Source organism: Homo sapiens, chromosome 2 (genome assembly GCF_000001405.40).
Source record: "Homo sapiens chromosome 2, GRCh38.p14 Primary Assembly".
In the NCBI taxonomy this organism is placed as follows: domain Eukaryota; kingdom Metazoa; phylum Chordata; class Mammalia; order Primates; family Hominidae; genus Homo; species Homo sapiens.
The window spans coordinates 213668421-213691585 of NC_000002.12; the positions used below are offsets into that span (position 1 = coordinate 213668421).

The window sequence follows — 23165 nt, forward strand, 5'->3', positions numbered from 1 at the left end:
GATTGTGAACATCCAAGACAAATTAGTATGGAATGTCTTAATTAAAGCTGGGTAAAGTAATTTTTTTACAGATAGATTGAATTTTATTAAATATTTAGAGTGGTATATTTTCATTTCACTCTTATGTAATTAATATTTAGCACAGTTCTTTGGGTATCAGGTTGCATTATTTATGCACATTTTTTGAGAAATATAATAGTGTTTTTTTGTTTTGTTTTGTTTTGTTTTGTTTGTTTTGCGATGGAGTCTTGCTCTGTCACCCAGAGTACAATGGCTGGAGTGCAATGGTGCAATCTTGGCTCACTGCAACCTCCACCTCCCGGGTTCAAGCGATTCTCCTGCCTGAACCTCCTGAGTAGCTGGGATTACAGGTGTGTGCCACCACGCCCAGCTAATTTTTTGTATTTTTAGTAAAGACGGGGTTTCACTGTGTTAGCCAGGAGGGTCTCGGTCTCCTGACCTCTTGATCTGCCTGCCTCGGCCTCCCTAAGTGCTGGGATTACAGGCATGAGCCACTGCGCCCGGCCTGAGAAATATAATAGTATTTCTAAGAAGTCTCTGGAAAATAGACCATAATTTTTTTTATTATATTCAAAATGCAAATTTTGCCTTTTGCTAACCAGATAAAAATACTTATGATTTTCGTATTTGCTTAGTTACAGGTATTAACTGAGCAAAATTGTTAAAATGTGTTTGATTTTGTTTGGATAGGGATTTGTTTTCATGTTTTCAAACTAAAGTTGAGAATCTTTTCCAGTGGCATTCTTAACTCATAGATATGATGTGAAAATTGTAGTTGCCTTAATCCTGCTCTTGTTGTCTTTAGGAAAACTGTGACTCATATCAGTAGCTTATTACCAAAGTTACATGGCTATTAGAGTTTGAGCCTTGGGATAGAAGAGTAAACATTCTGCTTTTGTCATGAGATACTGTTTTTTTGGCTATAGTATTCCCTCTAAGGCAGCCTCTAAGAAAAGCATCATTTATCTTAGTTTAGCTATGAGAAGTCTACAGAAATCCTTTCCTCATTTTAAAAAAATGAGTTTTCAGAAATATCCACAAATATTCAATGAATAGTTAAGCACAAAACTGTGTAATGTTTAGTAACACTCAACAGATGTTTTGCTAAGCCTTTTTTAAAAATTATAAATCAATAAATACATAAAGAAAAAACACCTTGAAAATCTTTATATCCTTTAATGGTAAAATAGGACAGTATGAATTCTCATCTAGTCCTATGGTTTTCACATTGGGAGTAAAAGCGCTTGGATTTAATGAGAAGTGTTCTGTTGGAATGAAAGAAAACTGAATTTCTTAACTCTAGGCAGTAGCTTATTAGCACAGTATTGTTCTCTGGTAAATACCTTTGCTTCCATTTTCTCACCTGCTTCCACTCGTAAATTCTCACCTCCTGCAATAGAAACTTTGCCTCTTAGTGACTTTGTGGTTGAAACTAGAGAAAAGCTGTTTACTCAGCAACATCTAGTATTTTGCTGCTTCTTCCTGGGTGATTAGATTTAGAAATCATGAAAATGGAGGCTTTTTTCTTCTACTTTTTGTTTGGCAAGCATGTTCTAATTCTTTTTTTTTTTTTGAGACAAGAGTTTCGCTCTGTCACGCAGGCTGGAATGCAGTGGCACGACCTCACCTCACTGCAAACTCTGCCTCCGGGGTTCACGCCCTTCTGCCTCAGCCTCCCAAGTAGCTGAGACTACAGGTGCCTGCCACCATGCCCAGCTAATTTTTTTTGTATTTTTAGTAGAGATGGGATTTCACCATGTTAGCCAGGATGGTCTCGATCTCCTGACCTTGTGATCTGCCTGGCTCAGCCTCCCAAAGTGCTGGGATTACAGGCGTGAGCCACCGCGCCAGGCCAAGCATGTTCTAATTCTTAAAATTGATCTGCCAATGACTGTGGAAAAGGTAATCACTTATTTCATACAGCAATAATTTATTATTAATATTTTTTAAAAATACTAAAAATTAACCTCATATCACAAACTTTTTTTTCTCATAAACTGTTGTGTCACTAGTATAATCTAGAATTTAGGAGGGGAGTTATTTTTTAAAGAAATCACTTATTTGTGATTTTTTTTTTCCTAAAAGGATGATTTAAAAATTATCTTTTGACTTTTCAAAATCAAACTTTTTCTCCTTGAGTTTAAATATTTATTATGTTTCAAATGTCTTAGGAAAAATAAAAGATAATTTTTTCATGTACTGATAGTATATACATTAATTTTCCAGAGCTCTGTCTAACTAGTGCTGATTGATCACCAGAGCACTAATTTCTTCACATTATGCATGCAAATATAAAACTGCTCTCTTGTCTGTGTTATTTCTGGCTTTTAAATGTGTTTACAATATTTTAGAAAGTTGCTTAGTTTTTGAATTTCTCAAATGCCGCATATATCAGTAAGCAAAATAAAGGCCATTAAAAAATTACAGCAGAATTAAAATTTCAAGGCAGAAGTATGTCACTCTCACACGATAAGCCAAAAGAGGTCAGACTTGTCTTTCTAATTATTTCCAGAGACCTGCCCTACAAATCAGGAACCATCACATGGATACATAAAAGTGTCTTTAATTGTGAAAGCAACTATGCAAATTATTCATTGCTATCATCCCTGATCAATTCCCAGATTATTTTCAAACTGAGAGACCCAAAATGACATAATTTTAAGGGAGTTACATGGAATAGTCACTTTGATAATTGTGTACTCATTTTAACATACTAGAAAAATATGATATATTAAAACAAAGCTTTGACTGATATTGTTTAGGATAAAGCTAAATAAAATTTATAAATAAGTCGATTTAAATAAAACATTAAGGAGAAAATTGGACCCTATTGTAGGAGCTTGACTATGGCAGCCATTCTAAGGGTAGCATGTGATTGAGGTTCAGTAAAGTGAGGTCCAAAGCAGCCCTTTTGGCTCTGTAGGTATTATTTGATTGAAAGGAGTCAAGATTTCTCTAAGAACTCTCAGAGTAAGGAGCCTTGTTTTGGGGAAGATGTCCATGAGTGGCATACATAGCAGAACTGTGAGCAAGATGGCACTTCAGAGCCACTGCTGTCACCATCTCTCTCCTTGAATCTTGGTCTTTTTCTCCCTCTGGTGCTTCTGCTGTCTCCCATCTCCTCCATAAGATTTCTTCCTCTACCCTCCTTCCAACTTCAACTATTGCTCTAAATAACTTAATGACTATGGTGTTTCCCTATGTATGTTCCCAAAAGTTATTTCCCAGACCTTGCTCTCTAAATTTAGATGGTCTTGAGTTAAGCACCGCACCTTTGGTATAATCAGTTATGGCCAGGGTGCTGCAGGGATGCCAGATCTACTTAGAGCTGTGAGCAGGGCACGTTCATTCAGACAGTCTGTGAGCTGAAGAAGACAGTTTGATGTCATCTCCAGGATATCATTAATGTCACCCAGGAGGAAATTGAGGCCTAGGAATGATTATACAGCAAATGAATACACATTCAAGACTAGAGTCCATTGGGTTCATTGCTAATCAAATATTATCCCCATTTATCTGAAAATATTTATTATGCATCATCAGCACATGAGATATTATGAAGTAACTAAAAGTGATTTAGCCATAGAGTCTTTCCCCTTTAGAAAACTAATATAGGAAATAGATCCCAGCAATGTCGAGAATTATTATGGACTGTGGAAATGAATAGGTTTAGACTACTATAAAGTTGTGAAACAATGAAGGTTCATTTCCTGAATCTACTGAATTTCTTTGATTTTTTTTTTTTCATTTCCTTTTCTGTCTTTCCTTTCCAGGGGCCTAGTACTATCATGACATGTCTTGTTCTAGAATTCTCTTCTTTTCCTCACTCAGTCCCTATCAAGCTAGATATATTTGCTCCCCAAAGAAAAAAATGTTTCTTTCAGCTCTTTTTTCTTCTTTTCCTTTCCTTTCCTTCCTCCCTTCTTTCCTTTCTTTCTTCCCTATTTCTATCCTTCCTTTCTCTTTCTTTCCAACATTGCCAACTGACAAACAACCCTTCTCAGGTAAGATTTTTTAAAAGGAAGAACCTCTGGAACTATATTTATTTTTTTGTGCGTCACTGATTACTTTTTTGTTCCATTGTTTACATTTCCCGTCATCTTACTGACTGCCTACTGCTGTTCTTCAAGAGCTCTATATTTGTACCTCTTTGCTTTTCTATTTTATTGAGTCTATTGTCATGTCATATATTTTTGCATCCCTTCTTCTTATATTATCAGTTTCTAATCATATTTCCAACTGCTTTTATAATATTTATATGGGTATCACATTATTGCCTCATCTTAATGCTTTGAAAATTAAAGCATCACATTGGCCCTGCTCTGCAATAGGGATATTCCTATCCTAGGAATTAGTTCTAAATAACTAATTTTCATCAATGATCAGTTTTTTTTTGTTTGTTTGTTTTATTTTGTTTGTTTTTTTTTTTTTTTTTGAGACGGAGTCTTGCACTGTTGCTTAGGCTGGAGTGCAGTGGCACGATCTTGGCTCACTGCAAGCTCCGCCTCCTGGGTTCACCCATTGTCCTGCCTCAGCCAATGATCAGGTCTTTAACTTGATCTTTAGTCTTCTCTTTCTTGAATTTCAGGATGTTACCACTTTTTGCCTTTATTAATAATGTGCGTGTGGATATTCAAAAATTTTTAAATCTATTTTCCTCTATATTCAAACCCTTCCTTTCCTTCAAGAACCCAAAACCTACCACACTCATAAAATTATCAGACTGCCACAGCATTTGGTAACCTCTATAACTGTATTTTTCTGACACCACATGAATTAGCAATCATTAGGTTAAAGAGATATTTTAAGAATAGGAATTAATATTTCTAGAAATAAAACATCTAAAAAATGGTTTATAAAAAGTCACTTTTTTAGGCTAATCAAACATAATATAGTCATTATAATGTTACTATAGGCAGAGAAACTTACAGGGCTGATGTACAGTATTAATTTTTAGGTTCATTTTAACATGCAGTTATTGGGTCCAGATATTATAATAGAGTGGAAAGATTCAACTGTCTATTAATAAAAGACTAGAAGCAATCATGGCACCTCCATACAGTAGGCTGTTTTATAGTTTTGAAGAAGCTTGGCATATGTCCTGCAAGACCATTGAGTCAAGGGAAAAAGCACATTGCAGAAGAGGATACACAATCTAATATATGCATACAACAAATGTTCATACAAATATGTACACACATTTTATATTTGTACAGGGTCAGTGTTGAAAATGGTGCAACAAATTGTCCACACTGGCTTCTACTAAGGTAATGTAATAGTTACTTTATACATTTTATTATATTTTGAAATTTCCCAATAAGCCTAAATTAATATTATAATAAAACAAATGTATTACAAACAACAAAAAAAAATAAAGAACATTGGAAAAATAAATGCTATCACTTTAACGGACATACTCATTCCATTTCTAGTTGTTTAATAATTGTGAAAGTGAAAAAAGTCTCATGTTACAGTACATTCATTCTATATGAAATATTAACAACTTTAATACTTAATAGTTGCAAGTGTCATTTATAAATAAAGTTATATTTTTAAATTATTTCATTATTTTGGTGCTGTTTATAAGGCTTCAAAAGATACTCATATTACTTGAGAAATATATGTTGTCTTTTCTTCTAGGTGTTATAAACTTTAAACAAATTTAATTTGCTGTGTATTTTAGTTGAATATGGAGACCGACCTGCTGAAGTAAAAATAATAGTAAAAGTAACTCTATATCATTCAAAAATGGCATGCTGTTATAATTTTATAGTTTCATTTATAATTTTACAGTTTGTAATTTCATCCAGTTCTCTACGACAACATACTTGATTCTTTTGGGATTAGACTTTGGAGCAATAAGATGTGATTTTTTTTCTTAAAGTCATTGTAATCTAAAATTGTCCAGGTCTCACAAATCTTGCTGCTCTTTTTTTTTTTCATTATTTTTTATTATTATACTTTTAAGTTTTAGGGTACATGTGCACAATGTGCAGGTTAGGTACATATGTATACCTGTGACATGCTGGTGCGCTGCACCCACTAACTCGTCATCTAGCATTAGGTATATCTCCCAATGCTATCCCTCCCCCTTTCCCCCACCCCACAACAGTCCCCAGAGTGTGATGTTCCCCTTTCTGTGTCCATGTGTTCTCATTGTTCAATTCCCACCTATGAGTGAGAATATGCAGTGTTTGGTTTTTTGTCCTTGCGATAGTTTACTGAGAATGATGATTTCCAATTTCATCCATGTCCCTACAAAGGACGTGAACTCATCATTTTTTATGGCTGCATAGTATTCCATGGTGTATATGTGCCACATTTTCTTAATCCAGTCTATCATTGTTGGACATTTGGGTTGGTTCCAAGTCTTTGCTATTGTGAATAGTGCCGCGATAAACATACGTGTGCATGTGTCTTTATAGCAGCATGATTTATAATCCTTTGGGTATATACCCAGTAATGGGATGGCTGAGTCAAATGGTATTTCTAGTTCTAGATCCCTGAGGAATCACCACACTGACTTCCACAATGGTTGAACTAGTTTACAGTCCCACCAACAGTGTAAAAGTGTTCCTATTTCTCCACATCCTCTCCAGCACCTGTTGTTTCCTGACTTTTTAATGATTGCCATTCTAAGTGGTGTGAGATGATATCTCACTGTGGTTTTGATTTGCATTTCTCTGATGGCCAGTGATGGTGAGCATGTTTTCATGCGTATTTTGGCTGCATAAATGTCTTCTTTTGAGAAGTGTCTGTTCATGTCCTTCGCCCACTTTTTGATGGGCTTGTTTGCTTTTTCCTTGTAAATTTGTTTGAGTTCATTGTAGATTCTGGATATTAGCCCTTTGTCAGATGAGTAGGTTGTGAAAATTTTCTCCCATTTTGTGGGTTGCCTGTTCACTCTGATGGTAGTTTCTTTTGCTGTGCAGAAGCTCTTTAGTTTAATTAGATACCATTTGTCAATTTTGGCTTTTGTTGCCGTTGCTTTTGGTGTTTTAGACATGAAGTCCTTGCCCATGCCTATGTCCTGAATGGTAATGCCTAGGTTTTCTTCTAGGGATTTTATGGTTTTAGGGCTAACATTTAAGTCTTTAATCCATCTTGAATTGATTTTTGTATAAGGTGTAAGGAAGGGATCCAGTTTCAGCTTTCTACATATGGCCAGCCAGTTTTCCCAGCACTATTTATTAAATAGGGAATCCTTTCCCCAATACTTGTTTTTCTCAGGTTTGTCAAAGATCAGATAGTTGTAGATTTGTGGCGTTATTTCTGAGGGCTCTGTTCTGTTCCATTGATCTATATCTCTGTTTTGGTACCAGTACCATGCTGTTTTGGTTACTGTAGCCTTGTAGTATAGTTTGAAGTCAGGTAGCATGATGCCTCCAGCTTTGTTCTTTTGGCTTAGGATTGACTTGGTGATGCGGGCTCTTTTTTGGTTCCATATGAACTTTAAAGTAGTTTTTTCCAATTCTGTGAAGAAAGTCATTGGTAGCTTGATGGGGATGGCATTGAATCTATAAATTACCTTGGGTAGTATGGCCAATTTCATGATATTGATTCTTCCTACCCATGAGCATGGAATGTTCTTCCATTTGTTTGTATCCTCTTTTATTTCACTGAGCAGTGGTTTGTAGTTCTCCTTGAAGAGGTCCTTCACGTCCCTTGTAAGTTGGATTCCTAGGTATTTTATTCTCTTTGAAGCAATTGTGAATGGGAGTTCACTCATGATTTGGCTCTCTGTCTGTTATTGGTGTATAAGAATGCTTGTGATTTTTGTACATTGATTTTGTATCCTGAGACTTTGCTAAAGTTGCTTATCAGCTTAACGAGATTTTGGGATGAGACAATGGGGTTTTCTAGATATACAATCATGTTGTCTGCAAACAGGGACAATTTGACTTCCTCTTTTCCTAATTGAATACCCTTTATTTCCTTCTCCTGCCTAATTGCCCTGGCCAGAACTTCCAACACTATGTTGAATAGGAGCGGTGAGAGAGGGCATCCCTGTCTTGTGCCAGTTTTCAAAGGGAATGCTTCCAGTTTTTGCCCATTCAGTATGATATTGGCTGTGGGTTTGTCATAGATAGCTCTTATTATTTTGAGATATGTCCCATTAATACCTAATTTGTTGAGAGTTTTTAGCATGAAGGGTTGTTGAATTTTGTCAAAGGCCTTTTCTGCATCTATTGAGATAATCATGTGGTTTTTGTCTTTGATTCTGCTTATATGCTGGATTACATTTATTGATTTGCGTATATTGAACCAGCCTTGCATCCCAGGGATGAAGCCCACTTGATCATGGTGGATAAGCTTTTTGATGTGCTGCTGGATTCGGTTTGCCAGTATTTTATTGAGGATTTTTGCATCAATGTTCATCAAGGATATTGGTCTAAAATTCTCTTTTTTGGTTGTGTCTCTGCCCAGCTTTGGTATCAGGATGATGCTGGCCTCATAAAATGAGTTAGGGAGGATTCCCTCTTTTTCTATTGATTGGAATAGTTTCAGAAGGAATGGTACCAGTTCCTCCTTGTACCTCTGGTAGAATTCGGCTGTGAATCCATCTGGTCCTGGACTCTTTTTGGTTGGTAAGCTGTTGATTATTGCCACATTTCAGCTCCTGTTATTGGTCTATTCAGAGATTCAACTTCTTCCTGGTTTAGTCTTGGGAGAGTGTATGTGTCGAGGAAAGGAACAACCGGTACCAGCCGCTGTAAAATCATGCCAAAATGTAGAGACCATCGAGACTAGGAAGAAACTGCATCAACTAATGAGCAAAATAACCAGCTAACATCATAATGACAGGTTCAAATTCACACATAACAATATTAACTTTAAATGTAAATGGACTAAATGCTCCAATTAAAAGACACAGACTGGTAAATTGGATAAAGAGTCAAGACCCATCAGTGTGTTGTATTTGGGAAACCCATCTCACATGCAGAGACACACATAGGCTCAAAATAAAAGGATGGAGGAAGATCTACCAAGCAAATGGAAAACAAAAAAAGGCAGGGGTTGCAATCCTAGTCTCTGATAAAACAGACTTTAAACCAACAAAGATCAAAAGAGACAAAGAAGGCCATTACATAATGGTAAAGGGATCAATTCAACAAGAAGAGCTAACTATCCTAAATATATATGCACCCAATACAGGAGCACCCAGATTCATAAAGCAAGTCCTGAGTGATCTACAAAGAGAATTAGACTCCCACACATTAATAATGGGAGCCTTTGACACCCCACTGTCAACGTTAGACAGATCAACGAGACAAAAGGTCAACAAGGATACCCAGGAATTGAACTCAGCTCTGCACCAAGCGGACCTAATAGACATCTATAGAAGTCTCCACCCCAAATCAACAGAATATACATTTTTTTCAGAACCACACCACACCGATTCCAAAATTGACCACATAGTTGGAAGTAAAGCTCTCCTCAGCAAATGTAAAAGAACAGAAATTATAACAAACTGTCTCTCAGACCACAGTGCAATCAAACTAGAACTCAGGATTAAGAAACTCACTCAAAACCGCTCAACTACATGGAAACTGAACAACCTGCTCCTGAATGACTACTGGGTACATAACGAAATGAAGGCAGAAATAAAGATGTTCTTTGAAACCAAGGAGAACAAAGACACAACATACCAGAATCTCTGGGACACATTCAAAGCAGTGTGTAGAGGGAAATTTATAGCACTAAATGCCCACAAGAGAAAGCAGGAAAGATGCAAAATTGACACCCTAACATCACAATTAAAAGAACTAGAAAAGCAAGAGCAAACACATTCAAAAGCCAGCAGACGGCAAGAAATAACTAAAATCAGAGCAGAACTGAAGGAAATAGAGACACAAAAAACCCTTCAAAAAATTAACGAATCCAGGAGCTGGTTTTTTGAAAGGATCAACAAAATAGATAGACCACTAGCAAGACTAATAAGGAAAAAAAGAGAGAAGAATCAAATAGACACAATAAAAAATGATAAAGGGGATATCACCACCGATCCCACAGAAATACAAACTACCATCAGAGAATACTACAAACACCTCTACACAAATAAACTAGAAAATCTAGAAGAAATGGATAAAATCTTGCTGCTCTTAACCACTATCGGTACACCTTCAGAATGGCCATGTTTTATGCCGGAAACTGCCTTGTTTACTCTGCAACTCCCTTGGTATTTCACTTTCACCCATTATCAGTTCTTTCATGTTTTTCTGTCCTACCCTCCTACTGCAGAAAGCTCACTTCCTGGCAGTGCCCAGTCACTGTTCCTAGAGCAGCCCTAGGGATTGCTGTTTTCTGCTATCTGTGGAAGCCCAAGGACAGAAAGGTTGTACGCAGGCAGCACTTCCTTTCAGCTTTACCTTACCAGAGACTTGCTGTTTGGAACACAGAAATGGGTGAGGACACTCTACTCTTACCGTTTTGCCCCCATCTCATCCTGGCAATGCTTGTGTTGTGGTTCCTTTACCTATAACTTCCTCCTGTCAAGACTTGTAGGAGGTTTAGGAGAGGCTGTTCTGGGGAATGTGCAGTTTGTGTCTGTTGCTGCTTCCTTTTCTTGGTTCCTGGTTCCCACCTCTCAGGCATGCACCAGACATCCTCCTTAGACTTCCTTAACGAAGGACACCTTCTCTGCATGCAAATCAGCTCTTAAAAATGGATACCTGGGGGTGAATCAATGTCTAACCTAATTCTAAATATAAATTTAAGCTTAGCCTGCAATTCTGTGACATGAAACAGATTTATAAGTTTGCTTAACATTATCTATACACTATGGTCATGTAAAATTGCTTTGACTGGAAACCTGAGAAAAACATTTTTACTTACAATTTCTTTTTAAAAATTTGCTTTCTTTCAGAGTTTGAATTGGTATTTCCAAGAACCAGATAATAATTACAAATTTCTATTCTTTTGCAGTTTTGCTCCTTTCCCATAATTCTGGTACTCCAGAAAGTAGAACTAACCAAATAAATGTGCAATTTGATTTAAAATTGTACCACTGGTCCTGACAGTAAGAACAATTGTAATTTTGCCTTAACGTCCTTTTTTCACACTTACCAGATGCCTTGAAACTGTAAATACATTTTAAAAACGTGGAGAAACTTTTTTTCCCACTTCCTACTTATTTTGTTCTAACTGTATTTCACAATTCCCTGTTGCTCCGGTGATTTATGTGTTTGCCATTTTGTCTGTGATGAAAATATTTGTAAAGTTACCTTCAGTAAAAAGACTATATCCATTAACTTAAGAATGGCATGATACTTTAAATTTTTAAAATGAATTTGATAAGGGAATTATTTTAGAAAAATAAAGACTTTAAGTTTGATGTTTTGGTTTATTTTTCAATAAGATGACAAACGAAGGGTAAAGTACATGGAAGACTAGATGAGAGGGCTATCACAGGAAGCACCCATAGACTTTAGATACATATGCAAAGGGATTTAATAATCTATTCACCAATTTGGTGAGGGAGGGATTCTTGTTTTAGGATTATGGGGATAGACTAATACACAATATTCACACTAGATTGTACAGATGAAATTGATAGCAGATTATCACATATACACACTCCTAGCACAGGGAAAGAGGATACAGCACACCACCGTGGGCCACATGAAGTTGCACTCAAAAGCAGAAGGAACAAGTAGAGGCTGTGGGAGAGAGGCTTCATAGTGTCAAGAGAGCAGGGTGACACCTGATTCCCATGGGAGGATGTGGTTGGCTTATTTGAAAAATTCCACCACTGGCAGAAAATTGAAACCTGCTACTCAGGTATCAGCAAGAACTCCACCTAGTCCCTTTGATAAGGAGCCTTGTTTGGCTGGGGGACCTTATCCACAGGAGCATAATGGAGAAGGGAGCTTGTGCGTAAGCCATTTGAGTCCTTATTGGTTTCACCAGAGGGCCTTAGTTTTGGCATTACAACTCAAAATGACTCCTGTGTTGTCTTTACTTACGAGGAACAAATACCTTCTCTAGTAGTTAAAAAAAAAAAAAAGATGTTTTATTACAAAGGCAAAAACAAGGGCTCTTATGGATGTCCAAGGCCCTGCACTATGGGAAGAGTTCAAGACCCTAAACCTGTATTCTATGTTCTCCAAGAGCAGTCCTCTTTCTCTCATTCGTGGATGATATGCTCGAATATGTGTAGAGCATCCTTGCAAGTAGGGAGCTACTTACACTTTCTCTTCCTAATAATTGTCAACAAAAAGAGTCAAACTCTGTAAAATATTTTAAGAGATTTATTCTGAACCAAATATGAATGACCATGGCCCATGACACAGCCCTTAGGAGGTCCTGAGAACATGTGCTCAAGGTGGTCAGGGTGCAGCTTGGTTTTATATATTTTTAGGGAGGCATGAGACATCAGTCAAATACACTTAAGAAATACATTGGTTTGGTTCAGAAAGGCAGGACAACTCCAAGTTGGGGGTCTTCCAGGCTATAGGTAAATTTAGACATTTTCTGGTTTACAATTGGCTGAGTTTATCTGAAGAACTAGGATCAATGGAAAGGAATGTTTAGGTTAAGATAAAGGATTGTGGAGACCAAGTTTTATGGTGCAGAGGAATCTCTCAGATAGCTGACTTCAGAGAGAGAGAGCAGGTTATAAAATGTTTCTTATCAGACCTAAAAGGGTACCTGGCTCTTATTTGATTGTCTCCTGGACCTGGAAAGAAAGGAAGGAAAACAAAGGGGAAAGAGGATTCTCTATAGGATGTGGATTTTTCCCACAGGATACTTTGCAGGGCAATTTCAAGGTATGGCAAGGAAATATATTTTGGGGTTAAATATTTTTTCCTTGTCTTGTAATGTTATGCCAGAGTCAGACTGAAAAGTAAGTCACAATATATAGGGTCAAATAAAATCCATCTAATGCGAATTTATGGTTGTCAGGCATGACTCCCTAGACCACTTAGGTAGGAATTTGGGTAAGATAAAAAATCAGAACTTAGTCCTCATAATCTTGTATGTTTCTCTTGAGAGTCTTGACTTTCCAGCTACAGTGCTTGCTAACAACTCTTTCTATGCTTTCCAGTTCCAATTCCAAAGAGATCTGATGATCTCTTTTGCCATTGTTGCAGAGGGATTAACACATGGCCAGGTTATGAATGAGCTGCTTCTGAGACAGGCATCCATTCTTATTATACTCAGTGGTAGCTAAAATAGATGTGGAGACACATAACAAAACATGGCTAAATAAAGAAGCAGAAATTGAGGGCATGGGTTTCCTCATCAAGGAAAGATGTGGGAAGCAAGACCTTCTGAAATATGCATAGCAAAATACCCCAGAGCCTCAAACCAGTTCTGCACTGCATTTTTTTCTTTCATAAAATAAAACTTTAATTTTTTAACTACCAAGTCAAACTAGTGAATCAGCCTTGGCTTTTCCCTCTTTCTTCTTTCCACTCCCCATCTGTATTTTTGACAAACTAAAGATGTGAAGTTTTCTTTCTTAATATTTCTCTCTTCCTTTGAAATATAAAGACATTACCCAGATCCAGGCTCCTTTCCCTTCAGCGTGAATCTGTTACAGCTGTCCTCTGGCACCTTTAGGGATCCTGTACCTCCAGAATCTCTCTTTGTCAGTCCCTGCTGTACCCAGCCCAACCAATCCTAATGAAACACCAGTTTCAAATAGGCTTATGTATCTCCCTATTCTTCCAGAATTGTCCTCAAGGCAATACCTTGAATTGACTCCTATCTTTCTATGTATCTGCCCTATTTCCTGACAAAAGGAGGCTAACTTTAGGGAATTTTACACCTGCATAGACAACTGGAATTGCAGGTTAGGATGAGATTAAGATCAAGATTGTTATATGTTTTGCTGCATTTGTTGTTTTCCAAACCAGATCATAACCCCCTGGAGGATAGGAATTAAGTCAGGTTCTTTTTACCCTAGAACCCATTCAATCATATACACTTTGATGTTGATTTCTTTATACTTTGAAAGCATTTATAGGAAGTTATTTGTGTAAGAGTTAAAGAAGAAAGAAACACAAAAAGTGGCTCAACAGTCAAAGACAGGTTTATTTTGGAGAATAAACCTGAGAGGGGCATCTGGCCAATTTTGGTCAGGAGCATTCTCTCTTACAGACTAAGGGTATTTAAGCGTTTAGGAAGGGAGAGCTTATCACAAGCTCAGAATGTTTCTGTGCACAGGAGAGTTTTATTGTGGGGTCGGCATGTCTCTGGACAGAGGGTAGGTTATCTCAGGGCTGGCATGTTTCTGGTTGGAGTGGAGGTTATCTCAGGGCTGGCATGTTTCTGGTTGGATGGAGATTTATCTCAGAGCTGGAATGTTTCTGGTCGGAGGTGTCACTTGTAGTTTATGGTCATGCTGACATTAGTCATTAGGCTAATGGTTTGGGGCTGGATTTACGCGGTTTTTAATCAAGGGGAACTTAAAATTGCTGTGTTTGTCCTAGATGGTGATGATCCTGCTCTGTCAATTTGTATTGGTTATTTGATTCAACTGCTTAGAAAAAAATAAGTATGGCTATTTTGTCTTATCTGATGGGATTACATAGTATAAAAACAGACTGGCTTAAGTATGGCATCTCAACATCTCACAGCCACAAACTGGATATTGCGTCCTAATAATGAATTCACGTTGATGATCTTTTCAGTGGTATTGCAAAAGAACTCCCTTATTGATTAAACACAGCTCTTGATTTTTCTAAGCATATAAGTAAAACTCAAAGAATTAAAACAATAAAGTTTTCCTGGGAGAGGAAAATCAGGAAATCTGACATAAAATGCCAGTTTGCCTTAAATTAGTAATTACTTGTGTAAAGTGTGCATTAAAAGATACATAGCCTGGGCACAGTGCCTCACACCTGTAATTCCAGCACTTTGGGAGGTTAAGCCGGGCAGATCACTTGAGGTCAGAAGTTCAAGAGCAGCCTGGCCAACATGGCAAGAACCCATCTCTACAAAAAATAGAAAAATTAGCTGAGCATGGTGGCATGCTCCTTTAGTCCCAGCTTCTCAAGAGGCTGAGGCAGGAGAATGGCTTGAACACAGGATGCAGAGGTTGCAGTGAGCCGAGATCGCATCACTGCATTCCAGCCTGGATGATAGAGTGAGACTCCATCTCCAAAAAAAAAAAAGATACATAAATACCACTTAACTATGTGATTTGTTGAAATTATGTTCTATGTATTTACTTTTATCACATTGAAATACATTCTGTTCTTATATATTTTTTTTCAAGTTAAGGGTGAATGCCAAACATGCATAAACCTCACCTATAGAGTCTATTGCCTTTCAGCCTTGTTATGCCTTAATACTGATTCTGTATGCATATATACATAATTTGGTAGATATTTAGCAATGTTACATTTGGAAAAACTAGGCCAGTGTACTATAATCAGCTTTGGAAAAGTTGTTCTCATTTGCAATTTTTCTTACAATTGAACAAATGACTGTTAAATACTTCATTTTTCTAAGTATATGGATTAAAATATAGCTTGTAGAAATGTCAGAGTATTCTAACTTGAAATGTAGGAAAGCGTTTTGTGTAGTTTTGTAAGTTCTTTCTTCAATTTTGTGGATTAGTAAGTACATAAAAAGAATTCATTCTGACTGTAGGCTGACAACATTGGATTGGCAGCTGAAAAAAGTTGTCAGCATTGCCTGTCAGATTCAAACTTAGCAGTGTACAAGGTTTATAAAAGCTTGAAGCTATCCTGTCAACACTGGCATTTCATTAAAGATTAATTAACCCGAATTTGCTTGCTAATAAAGATCAAAATATCAGTCATTTCTCTCACAAAAAACGTGTGACTAACTTGTAGCTTATGCCTTGTGTATGTGCATATTCATGGTTAAGAAATGAAGTACTATAGGTCTTTTTTAAGTTTATACTAAAGGCAATGGTGTGCAAAGGAAAGTGGAAGGTTTTAGTTAAAATTAGATCAGAGCATACACATAGCTAAAACTGACTTCAGTATTTGCTGCAACCAGGAAAATAGAGGAAAATATCTCTTTTCTTTGAAGACCATTCCAGAATTGATTTTACACTTCACTTTTCTAATGTTCACATATTAGAAAAAAAGTTAATCCTATTTAAAATGTGAAAATAGATCACTTCATATTTCCAACTGACTACAATATAATACAGTGAAAATGTTGCTAAAGTTCTATATAAACTATATGTGTTAAATAAGTAAATGAAATTACCAGACCCTCATGACTTTTCCGCTCTTATAGCAATAATAAAAACATCATTTAAAGCTGCTGTGTTACATTAAGTCATTACTGGGCAACTTATTTAATGAAAAATAAGCTTATCCATTATGTAACAAATGTTTTATTGGTAATGTATTGTGTTCCCTGAACTCTGCAATGTAATGAGGATAAATGGTAAGCAAAACAGACACATTATGTATCCTCACGGATTTAACAATTTATTGGGGGAACAACTATGGGTTTAAGTCATACTACAATGCAAAATTGCAGCTCTACATGTGCTATGAAGGAGTGGTTTCCAGGACCATAAGAGTCTGTGATAAGGGGGTTTACAGAATAAAGCAGATCAAGGAAGTCCTCTTTAAGAGGTTGCCCTGGAGTTTAGACCTGAAGAATTTGTGAGGAGGTATCAGTTGAAAGAGTCAGGGAAAGATCTGCCCAGACAGAAGGGCTGAATAAAAGACCCTTTGGCAAGAAGGAGTGTAACAAACACAGGGACTGTTATGGGTTGCATTATGTCACACCAAAAAGATATGCTGAAGTCTTAACCCCAAGTACCTCAGAATGTGACTTTATTTGGAAACAAGGACTTTGCAGATTTTACAAAGTTAGAATGAGGTCACTGGGGTAGACCCCAATCCAATATGACGCGTGTTCTTGTAAGAAGGAGAAAGGTGGGCATGGACATGCAGAGGAAAGACTATGTGAAGAGACACAGAGAATAAGGACATATTCAAGCCAGGGAATTCCTGAGGTTACCAGAAGCCAGGAAAGAGGCCTGGAACTGATCCTTCCCTAGCACCTTCAGTGGGAGCATGACTCTGCTAACACCTTGAGTTTGGCCTTCTGGCCTCCAGAAGTGTGGCACAATAAATTTCTGTTGTTATCAGTCACTCAGTTTGTAATACTTTGTTACAACAGCCCTAGGAATGTAATACAGGGACTGAAAACATATCAGTGTAGATTGCAAAGGAAGAATAAGAGCAACTTGATCTGAAGAGAGGATAGAACAATAGGCAGGGACAAGACAATAGGTCCTGAAGGCCATTTTTATGAGTTTCCTTTTTATTCTAAGAGCAAAGGATTTAAGAAGTACAAGAAAAAGATGATAGTAGCTTGGACACTAGAGTGGTAGTAATGGTTATAGAGAGAAATCATTGGAAATAGGGAAGTGAATAAAAAATTATGAATAAACCACAAAAACTCAGGCTTACTCAAGGACATCATTTAAGCCATTGTGTTTGCTTTTGTCATCAATTTTTCAATCTCTATTAAAAACTGGTTTTCGTTAACAGATTGAGGAGTAGTTGGCATGTAATATAATGCATGTTTAAAAAGTGTGAAATTTAATAAATTTTGACATATAATTATAAAGGTATCATAATCAAGATAGTTAACATCCAATCATCTCATATCCAATAATCCAATAATTAATGTCTAAACCCAAAATTTTCCTAGTTCCTCTATGTGTTACTTTATTTATTTATTTATTGAGATGGAGTCTTGCTTTGTTGCCTAGCCTAGAGTGCAGTGGTGCGATCTTGGCTCACTTCAACCTCTGCCTCCCCGGTTCAAGTGATTCTCCTGCCTCAGCCTCCTGAGCAGCTGGGACTATAGGTGCACACCACCATGCCCAGCTAATTTTTGTATTTTTAGTAGAGACGGGGTTTCACTATATTGGCCAAGCTGATCCAATCTCCTGACTTTGTGATCCACCCACCTTGGCCTCCCAAAGTGCTGGGATTACAGGCATGAGCCAAAGCGCCCGGCTGTTACTTTATTTTAATATTCCTTTCTCTGAAATTTATTTTTCTTATATTGTCATCCCAGTTTTTTATTATTAGCATGACGTATTATTTCCCACTATTTTAAAACTTATTTGTATCTTTGTATTAAAGGGAGTTCCCTGCAGACAGCAAATAATTGGATTTTACTTTCTTGTTTAATTTGATAATGTCTGCCATTTAATTGGAATATTTAGTTCACTTACATTTAATGTGACTATTGGTATGGTTAGGTATTAATCCACCTTTTTTTTTTTTTTTTTTTTTTTTTTTTTTGAGACAGAGTCTCGCTCTGTCACCCAGGCTGGAGTGTAGTGGTGCCGTCTCGGCTCACTGCAACCTCCACCTCCTGGGCTCAAGCGATTCTGCCTCAGCCTCCCAACTAGCTGGGACAACAGGCGCGTGCCACCACACCTGGCTAAGTTTTTGTATTTTTAGCAGAGGTGGGGTTTCACTGTTTTAGCCAGGGTGGTCTTGATGTCCTGACCTCGTGATCTGCCCACCTCGGCCTCCCAAAGTGCTGGGATTACAGGTGTGAGCCACCATTCCTGGCTAACCCACCATTTTCTACTTGTTTTCTATTTGTTTCCTTTGTTCTTTGTAATTTTTCCCTTTTTTCCTGCTTTCTTTAGGATTATTTTTATTCCATTTTATGTATATTGTTACCTTATTAGTCATAACCCTTTATTTTGGTGGTTGTTTCTTGCTTCAAGTAATATTAAGTTATGTACCTCTTCACATATAGTATGAGGAACTTGTAAGAAAATATTACTACTTCCAATTTCTTCTCCTGGCCTTTCTGTTATTATTGTCATGCATATTATTGTATATATGTTATAAAAGTCACAGTACAAGTCATTTATCACTTGAATGCATTTAACTATTAAGGAAAATATCTTATGTATTTACCCAAAAAAGTTAATTCTACTTGTGATCTTCATTTCTTTGAGGGAATTTTAATTTTTACATGATTATCATTTTACTAAATTACTTTTTTGGACATTTCTTGTAGTGTGGGGTTTGCTGGTGAAAAATTGGTTCATTTTCTTTGTCTGAAAGTACTTATTTTAGCATTTTTTAAATGATATTCTTCCAGGTTATAAAATTCTAGATTGGCGTCCTATTATTTCTTTTAGTATTTAAAAATGTTGCTCAACTGACTGCTTACTTCATTGTTTTCTACTAGAAATTGGCTGTCATTTTGATCTTTGTCTTTTGTAAAGGCATATGTTTTTTTGTCTGACCCCTTTCGAGATTTTATCACTGATTCTGAGCAATTTGAATATAATGTATCTTGACATAGTTTTCTTCATGTTTCTTGTGGTTGAAGTTTGATATGATTCTCGGAACTGAGAGTATATAGTTTTCCTCAAATTGCAAGATTTTGGCTACTATTTCTTCATAATTTTTTGTCCCTTTTTATTTCTCCTTTCCTTTAGAGACTCCCATTGACAAAAAGATTCAAACTCTGTAAAATATTTGAAGGGATTTATTCTGAGCCAAATATAAGTAACCATGACCTGTGACATATCCCTCAGGAGGAACTGAGGACATGTGCCTAAGGTGGTCAGGGTGCAGCTTGGTTTTATACATTTTAGGGAGGCATGAGACATCAATCAAATACATTTGAGAAATACATTGGTTTGGTCCAGAAAGGTGGGGCAGTTTGAACTTGGGGGGAGGATTTCCAGGCTATAGGTGGTAAATTTAAACATTTTCTAGTTGACAATTGGTTGAGTTTGTCTAAAGACCTTGGATCAACAGAAAGGAAATGTTCAGGTTAAGATAAAGATTGTGGAGACCAAGGTATTTTGAATTCTCATAGTGGCTGCCATTAAAGACAATAGATGACAAATGTTTCCTATTCAGACCTTTAAAAGGTCCTAGACTCTCAGTTAATCTCTTCAGGAATGGGAGGGCCTGGGAAAACAAAGATCTAGCTATGTTAATAGAGATTCTTTACATATGCAAATTTTCTCCCACAAAGTACAGCTTTGCAGGGCCATTTCAAAATGTGGCAAAGAAACATGTTTGGATTTTCTTCTTTGTCAGGTAATGTTACACATAAAATATTTGGATTTTCTTCTTTGTCATGTAATGTTATGCCAGAGTCAGATTGGAAAGTAAGTCACGATATATAGGGTTAAATAAAACCCATCTAATGAGAATTTATGGTTTGTAGGGCATGACTCCCCAGATCCCTTAGATAGGAATTTGCATGAGATAAAAAAAATCAAAGCTTAGTCTTCAATCCCATTGCATTTATATTAGTTCACTTTAAGTATTCCACAGTTTATGGATGCTCTGTTAATTTTTTTTTCAGTTTGTATTGTTTTGAATTCTATGCCTCCAAATTAATTTTTCTCCTGCAATCTCTAATCTGCTTCCATCTAGTAAATTATCTCAGATATTATATTAATAATTCTATCACCAGACATTTTATTTGATCCTTTTTAACTTCCCTGTTTCTTCTTAACCTATTTAATCTTTCCTCTCATTTTTTGAACATATGAAATTTGATGTAATGACTTAAAATGTTCTCTTTTTTTGAGCCAGAGTCTCACTCTGTTGCCCAGGCTGGAGTGCAGTGGCTCGATCTTGGCCCACTGCAACCTCCACCACCCTGGTTCAAGCAATTCTCCTGCCTCAGCCTCCTGAGCAGCTGGGATCACAGGCTCCTGCCACGGTGCCTGGTTAGTGTTTGTATTTTTAGTAGAGTCAGGGTTTCACCATCTTGGCCAGGCTGGTCTTGAATGCCTGACCTCGTGATCCACCCACCTCAGCCTTGCAAAGTGCTGGAATTACAGGCATGAGCCACTGCTCCTGGCCTTAAAATATTCTTGTCTAATTTTATCATCTGTGTCAGTTATGGATTGGTTTTGATTGACTTTTCTCTTCACATGGTTCAGATTTTCCAATTTCTTTGTGTATTGTTAATTTTTGTTTGGATGCCAAACAATGTGAGTTTTACTTTTTGGGTACTGGATATTTTTATTCTATATTCTTTAGATTTCTTTTGAAAAGCAGTTAAATCACTTAGAAGCAGTTTGATCCTTTTGGATCTTGATTTTAAACTTAGAACAGAATTTAGTGCTGGGGCTTTTTTTTTTTTTTTTTTTTTTTTTTTGGTCTCACTTCAAAAGTGTGACCTCTCTAAGAGCAGTGCCCAATAGCCATATGAATTAATAAGATTTTTTAGTTTGAAAACACTCATTATTCTCAGCCTTACTGAGTTCTGAATATATTGTTCTCACTATTCTTTTCAGGTGGCTCTTTTCATATCCTTGGTTAGTGTCCTAACAAACATGTGCTAATTAGTACCCAGCTGAATATTCGAGGAGAATTGTTTACAGATGTCTGGAATTTTCTCTCTGCTGCCCTCTTTTCTCTTTAGTGTGCACTTTACTATGCTGCTGTAGAGAGGCTATCCTACTCCAGAAAGACTTGTTTATAATTTCTTCACACCACTCATTTATTCATTTTCTCCTTTATACTTCTTCCAATCTGGTTTTTACATCCTCTGAAATTCTTATCAAGTCATCAGACCATCATTTTGCTAAATCTAGTGTTTATTTTTGGTATAAATATTCTGGCCTCCATAATGTCTGACCTCATCTTTTATTAATTTCTCCTTCAATCCATCACATTAAAAAAATTCTTCGATCACAGTAGGCATGATTTTGTCTTAGAACATTTATACTGGCTATTTTTTCTGCTTGAAATGCCCTTTCTTCAGATATTTGCCTCGTTAACAAACTCCTCTATTTCTAGACTTAACTCTTCGTCTTAGTCTTAGTCCATTTGTGCTGCTATAACACAGACTGTGGAATTGATAAAAGACAGATATTTATTTCTAACAGTCTGGAGGCTGGGAAGTCCAAGGTCAAGTCACCAGCAGATTTGGCTCTCCAGCAAGGGCTGCATCCTCCAGAGTGAAGGAAACTGTGTCCTTACACTGCCTCCAGAGGCAGAAGGGCAAGAGAGAGACACTCCCTCTATCCACTGCTTTGATAAGGATACCTAATCTCATTCATGAGTATGATGGTTAATATTAGGTGTCAACTTGACTGGATTGAGGGATGCCTAGATGGCTGATGAAGCATGTTAATAGATGTGTCTGTGAGGGACACATCTATTTGCCAGAGGAGACTGATATTTGAGTTAGTAGACTGGGAGAGGAAAATTCATCCTCAATGTGGGTGGCACCAACCATTTGTCTGCCAGTGCAGGTAGAACAAAGCAGGCAGAAGAAGAGGATAGGCAGCTTGTTGAGTCTTTTTGCTCCTTCTCTTCCCATGTTATGCTGGATGCTTGGCTTCCTCTCCTCGTGCCCTTGGATATTAACTCCAGGTTCTTCAGCCTTTGGTCTGTGAGGCTTGTACCAGCAACCTCCCAGGGGCTCTTGGGCCTATGGCCTCAGACTGAGGGCTGCACTGTTGGCTTCCCTGATATTGAGGCATTCAGATTTAAACTGAGCTATGCTACTGGCTTCTCTCTTTCTCTAGCTTGCATATAGATAGATACAGATATAGATATAGATATATAGATATATATATAGATCCTATTGGTTCTGTCTCTCTGCAGAACCCTGACTAATACAGTGACGGAGGAGCCCTGAAGGCCTAATCACCTCTTAAAGGCCCCACCTCTTAATACTATCACACTGGCAACATCTGAATTTTGGAGAGGGCACATTCAAACCATAGCACTCTTCAATAAGCCTAATCACCCTACTTAAAATTCCAGCAACTTCCCAGGATAGCCAGTCTCTAAAGATAACCCTCAATAAACCTTGTGTAACCCTTTCCTCTTGAATCTGGGCTAGCCCTGACTTGGAGCCAATAGAATGCAGCAGGTGTGACAATCTAGATCTTCTGAGGCAGTCAGAGGACAACTTGCAAATTCTGACTGGGTCTGCTTAAATGCTAGCTGTCAGGGTGCTCACTCTCAGTACACATGGAGAGGCCACCTTTAGGCACCTTGATCAATAACCTCAGCTAAGCCTACATTTGACAACCAGTATCAACTGCTGGCCATGTGATGGAGCTGTCTTGGACCTCTAGCCCAGACTAAAGCCCTGGCTGATATCTGTCTGTAAACACATGAGAAACTGTAAGTGAGAGCCAACTAGATCAGCTAAAACACAGTAATACAAGT

General features: G+C 37.2%; 1 protein-coding gene across 18 annotated transcripts in view, besides 1 other annotated feature; it reads left to right on the top strand.

Moving 5' to 3' along the window:
• Positions 1-23165, top strand: part of SPAG16 (sperm associated antigen 16) — a 1126038-nt gene that overhangs the window by 383957 nt on the left and 718916 nt on the right. The gene's annotated exons all lie outside the window — the stretch shown is intronic.
• Positions 19496-20338: an enhancer, noted in NCBI's record as "OCT4-NANOG-H3K27ac hESC enhancer chr2:214552640-214553482 (GRCh37/hg19 assembly coordinates)". NCBI's record gives its function as "activates a minimal SCP1, AML or CMV promoter by ChIP-STARR-seq in primed H9 embryonic stem cells {active_cell/tissue: H9 hESC(primed)}" and the evidence as "EXISTENCE:reporter gene assay evidence [ECO:0000049][PMID:30033119]".